Source organism: Homo sapiens, chromosome 13, assembly GCF_000001405.40.
Source record: "Homo sapiens chromosome 13, GRCh38.p14 Primary Assembly".
Lineage (NCBI taxonomy): Eukaryota > Metazoa > Chordata > Mammalia > Primates > Hominidae > Homo > Homo sapiens.
This window is the reverse complement of record NC_000013.11, coordinates 89,378,831-89,383,973: the sequence shown is the minus strand read 5'-3', so window position 1 is coordinate 89,383,973 and position 5,143 is coordinate 89,378,831. Positions and strand designations below refer to the sequence as shown.

The 5,143-nt window shown below is 35.9% G+C and overlaps 1 annotated feature.

Annotated features, from left to right (window-relative positions):
* Nucleotides 3,439-4,022: an enhancer, noted in NCBI's record as "NANOG hESC enhancer chr13:90032206-90032789 (GRCh37/hg19 assembly coordinates)". NCBI's record gives its function as "activates a minimal SCP1, AML or CMV promoter by ChIP-STARR-seq in naive H9 embryonic stem cells {active_cell/tissue: H9 hESC(naive)}" and the evidence as "EXISTENCE:reporter gene assay evidence [ECO:0000049][PMID:30033119]".

Genomic DNA, 5,143 nt, shown 5'->3' with positions numbered 1-5,143 from the left:
TGTACAGCCTGCAGAACTATGAGCCAAATAAACACCTTTTGTTTATAAATTACCCACTTTCATTTACAGCAACACAAATTGACTAAGAAAACACTTAAATGTAATACTTGAAACTATAAAGCTAGTAGTAGGAAACATAGAGGAAAAGTTCACAACATTGGTCTGGGCGATGATTTCTTGAATAGAACTCCAAAAGTAGAGGCAACAAAAGCAAAAATAAACAAATAAGAGTGCATCAAACCAAAAAGCTTCTGCACGGAAAAGGAAACAAAAGACTGAAGAGACAACCTACAGATAGGGAGAAAATATTGACAAACGATGATTCTGTTAATGAGCTAATATCCAAAATGTACAAGAAATTTCAACTGAGTAGAAAGAAAACAAATAACCCTATTAAAAATGGGCAAAGGATCTGAACAGACATTTCTCAGAAGAGGAGATGTGAATAGCCAATGGATACTTGAAAAATCCTCGACACTTCTAATCATAAAGCAAATATAAATTAAAAACAAAATGAAATATTGCCTCATACCTGTTAGAATGGCTATGATAAAAAAGGAATAGTGACACATTGGTGAGGATGTGGAGAAAGAGAACTTTTGTATACAGTTGGTGGGAATGAAAATTAATTTATTTTGGGAAATAGCATAGAAGTTCTTCAAAAAACTAGAAATAGAATTACTATATGATTCAGCAATTACACTTCTAGATATATATTCAAATGAACTGAAGTCAGTATGTTGAAGAGAAATCTGCACTCTCTAGCCAAGTGTGGCGGTGCGTGACTGGAGTCCCAGATGCTTGAGAAGCTGTTGTAGGAAGATCACTTGAGCCCACGAGTTTGAGTTTGCTGTGAGCTGTGATCATGCCACTGCTCTCCAGCCTGGGCAAAAGAGTGAGTGAGACCTTTTCTCAAAAAATAAATAAATAAATAAATAAATAAATAAATATATATATATATATATGTGTGTGTACTCTCATGTTTATTTTAGCATTATTCACAACATGAAGACATGGAACCCACCAGACTGCCCTTCATTTCTTTCATTTATTCATGTCTGGCAATGAATAAATGAATGAAAAAAATGATATATTATATATATACATATACACGATAAAATTCTATATAGTCTTAAAATATAAGAAAATCTGTCATTCGGAACAATATAGATAAAACTGGAAGACATTAAATTAAATGAAATATGCCAGGCACAGAAAGACAATTACCATATGATTTTACTTACATGTGGAATCTAAAAAAAAGTCAACCTCATAAAACCAAAGAGTAGAAAGATGGTTACCAGAGGTTGGGGTGGGGCAGGGGAAGAAATGGGGAAAGGGGATATATTGTTCAGAGGGTGCAAAGTTTCAGTTATACTGGAGGAATAAGTTCTACTGATCTACTGCACTGCATGGTGACCACCATTAATAATAATGGTTTGTATATTTCAAAATTGCAAAAAGAATATATTTTTTACTTTCTCACCACATAAAAATAATTTGATGGAGTGACAGATATGTTAGTTAGCTTAAGTGAATCTTTCTACAGTGTATACATAGATCCAAACATCACATTGTACCCCATAAATATGCATAATATTTGTCGATTAAAAAAATAAAAATAGGTAAATAAGTAAATTAAAAGAAAAATCTTATATTTATTTGCTACTTAAAATATATTATACAATTAATTTTGCATGTTTATTTGTGCTTCTTTTAAATATGGCCACTATAGTGTGCTAAACTATAACTGTTCCTTGTTTAATATTTCTACTGAACTACCTTGGTCTAAAGCATACATTTCCATAAAGTTTAAAAGGGAAAGAATGGAAGTGATGACTTAGTAACAGAAGCTTGCACTTTGTCCAGAAAGCAAGAAAGAAATAGAGGACTAGGGCTGTGGCAAAGAGAGGCTAATACAGTGCTTCCTGATACTAATTCATCTTGGCTGTATAGATAACATACAGATTCCTAGATCTCACGCTAGACCTATGAAATCAGCTTATATAAACTCTTCCCTGTTATTCATCTGATTATATTATATTAATCAGCAAGATTTAATAATTAGCAGAGTGTTCCAAATCCAATATTCTATGAACCAAATCTTTTTTGAGGTGCTTCAGTGCATATTAGTCTGCTAAACCTGTTAAAACAAAATACCACAGATCAGGTGGCTTATACAACAGACATTTATTTTATCACAGTTCTGGATGCTGAGTATCCAAGATCACAAATGTCTTCAGGTTAGGTTTCTCTTAGGACCTCTTTCCTTGGCTTGCATATGTCCGCCTGCTTGCTGTGTTCTTACAGTGCCTTTCCTCTGTGTGAGAGCAGCCCTGGTGTTTCTTGATCGTCTTAAAGTGGTATCAGTGATATTAATTTAGAATTTCACCCTTATGACACCACTTAAACCTATTAGGTTGTTGCAAAATAACTGTGGTTTTGGCCATTAAAAGTAATGACAAAACCACAGTTATGTTTGCACCAACTTAAGAATTATCTGTTTATTAGTTCCGTCTCCAAATACAGTTGTATTGGGGCTTAGGTCTTCAGCATATGAATGTTGAGGGGACAGAATTTGATCCATAACCACATGTATTTAAAAAGATGTCTTACAAATAACAAACCAAACCAAAAAAGCAAACAAACAAAATCTGACTCTCTCTTCTAATTATTCCATCTATACAGTGCTTATCATTTACTAAATTTTGCACTAGCTCCATTGTCAATAAGGAAAGACACATTCACTTTTCTACTTACCAGTCATAACTATACTTACTGAATTTTCAATTAATAATGCCTAGTCTCAGGCTGTAAAATGTAGAGTCAAATGAACTTGTCCTACAACCAGCTAATACCTGAGGTTTCTAATCCTTAAATTAACATATTTTCTTTCCTTTTTCTTAAATCAAATGAAATAATACTAGTAAAAGTGCCTTGGAAATATTGCTTCACCTAGAAAGAATTATTGCTAAAATAAATCAATACAAATTTTCAGAAAATGGCTTTGTCATAAGTATATTGCTGTACATTTACTCTTAGAATTGTGTATTAGACTCTGCTATGCATTGCTTTGAAGAAATACCTAAAGCTGGGTAATTTATTTTAAAAAAATGGTTTAATTGCATCACAGTTCTGAAGGCTACACAGGTAGCATAGCTCCGGCATGTACTCAGCTTCTGGTGAGGGCTTCGACTGCTTACAATCATGGCAAAAGGTGAAGGAGGAGCTGGCATCTCACACATAGAGAGTGGAATCAAGGGAGGGGAAGATGTCACACTCTTCTAAACAACCGGATCTTGAAAGAACTCACTATCACGAGGACAGCACCAAGCCGTGGGAAATCTGCCCTCATGACCCAAACACCTCCCTCCAGGCCCCACCTCTAACATTAGAAATTACAATGCAACATGAGATTTGTCAGGGGCACATATTCAAACTATATCACATTGTATTGCTATGTGTGTGCATGCATGCATGCGTGTGCCCATGATTGCTTGCGAAATGAAGAAGCCTCTTAGGTTGAGTTCTCCACAATCATGTCCCAAATAAGAATTTGCCTTTAAAGGACTTCTTAAGAAACTGCTGGAGGCAAAACTGATAAGGAGGTGAAGGAAATAGGACAGAAAATGAGAAATAGCTGAGCAAATTTGTGGTTTGGCAAAGTCCCAACCTCAGGTACTTCCTGCTTATTGCACTTGCAGGCACAGCAGGTTAGTAGTTAATGGGTAATCCAGAGAGAAGAATAGAGACAATTAGTAGTAAAATACTTAGAAACCAGAGGATGAGTACACAAAACGAAAAAGAGGGATTAATGTGGATGTGGGTGGAGGACTGAGGTTGGCTTAACTTTGTAGATGACAGTGGAGAATATCTTTCTTGACTTGGAACGGCACTAACTAATCATGCCCTTCCCACTTAGCAATGCAGCATTGTTCTTTACTCAAATCTAGATGAAAAGGTTTAAATACAAATCTTCTCAAAGAAAGATGAGAAGTTGAATATTCGTGCAAATTTTCCTTCTACCAGATTCTTTTAGATTCTTTCTTCACATACACAAAAGATGGAGACAGAAAAAGAGAGGAACATTAATGGAGTAAGGCTTTCACAAGCAGCAGTGTCTTCACAATTTGCCTGGAATTTTTTGGTCTCATTTATTATTAATTATGGATATGGAAGTATTTTATTTATGTTGTTGGTTGTCTTTGTTGTTTCACACAACAGTTGACTTTTAGTGTGCATTTTGCACTAAAATTCTTTGCTAAGAAATTCAGAGGAAGTTTAAAATGCACACTCAAATTAAGTCATATTATTCGTGATAGAGTCAATAATTAAAGGAATTGCAAGGTAGATTATAGTCTTAGGTTTTCTTTAAAATCTAAATGCTAAATTCAATAAAATGTCTTCATTTTGATGTGATCTGTTTTCCACAAAGTATCCATAGTCTGCTAAGCATAGAACGTTAGTGTTGAGGCTTTTTCGTTTCCGTAATTTGGCAAGTGGGAGGGACTGGTGCCCAGCAGTTTCTTCACTCCTGTAGCTTGGTGAGTGGAAAAGAGTGTTACAGCTCTTTTACTCCCACCGCCTGCAGTTCAATGAGTGAGAGCATTACAGCTCTTTTACTCCTGTAGTTTGGCAAGTTCCAGGTTCTTGTCCTGCAACCAAGAGGAATAAGGTAGGTGGACACCAGAGAGTGAGTAAGGCAAAGTAGAATTTTATTGAGTGACAGAAAGAAAGCTCTCAGCAGCAAGAGGGGGCCCAAAAGTGGGTTGTCGTCTGTGAGGCTGAGTGCAGGATTTTGATGGGCTTGGGATGGGGGAATGTGTGCTGATTGGTCCATGGGTGGGCTTGGATAAGGCAACATTTAACTGGTTAAAAGACATCATTCAGAAGGAACCATCTGAGAGAGAGTGATTAAGACAAGTATAAAAGTTCTCACTCTGGTCATGGACTTTATCTGAAACTAGCAGATTGGCTTTCAGGCTTTCGTCTTTGGCCTAAAGGTCAAGTTTCTGGACCTGTCCCTGTCTGCCTAGGAATTTGTCTGTGTCCTGTCACTATCATTAGTCAACTCATAAATGAACAAAATGGCTGAGTTTTTGTAAAGTCAAGAATAACCCACAATGGACTAAATAGGTTTCTG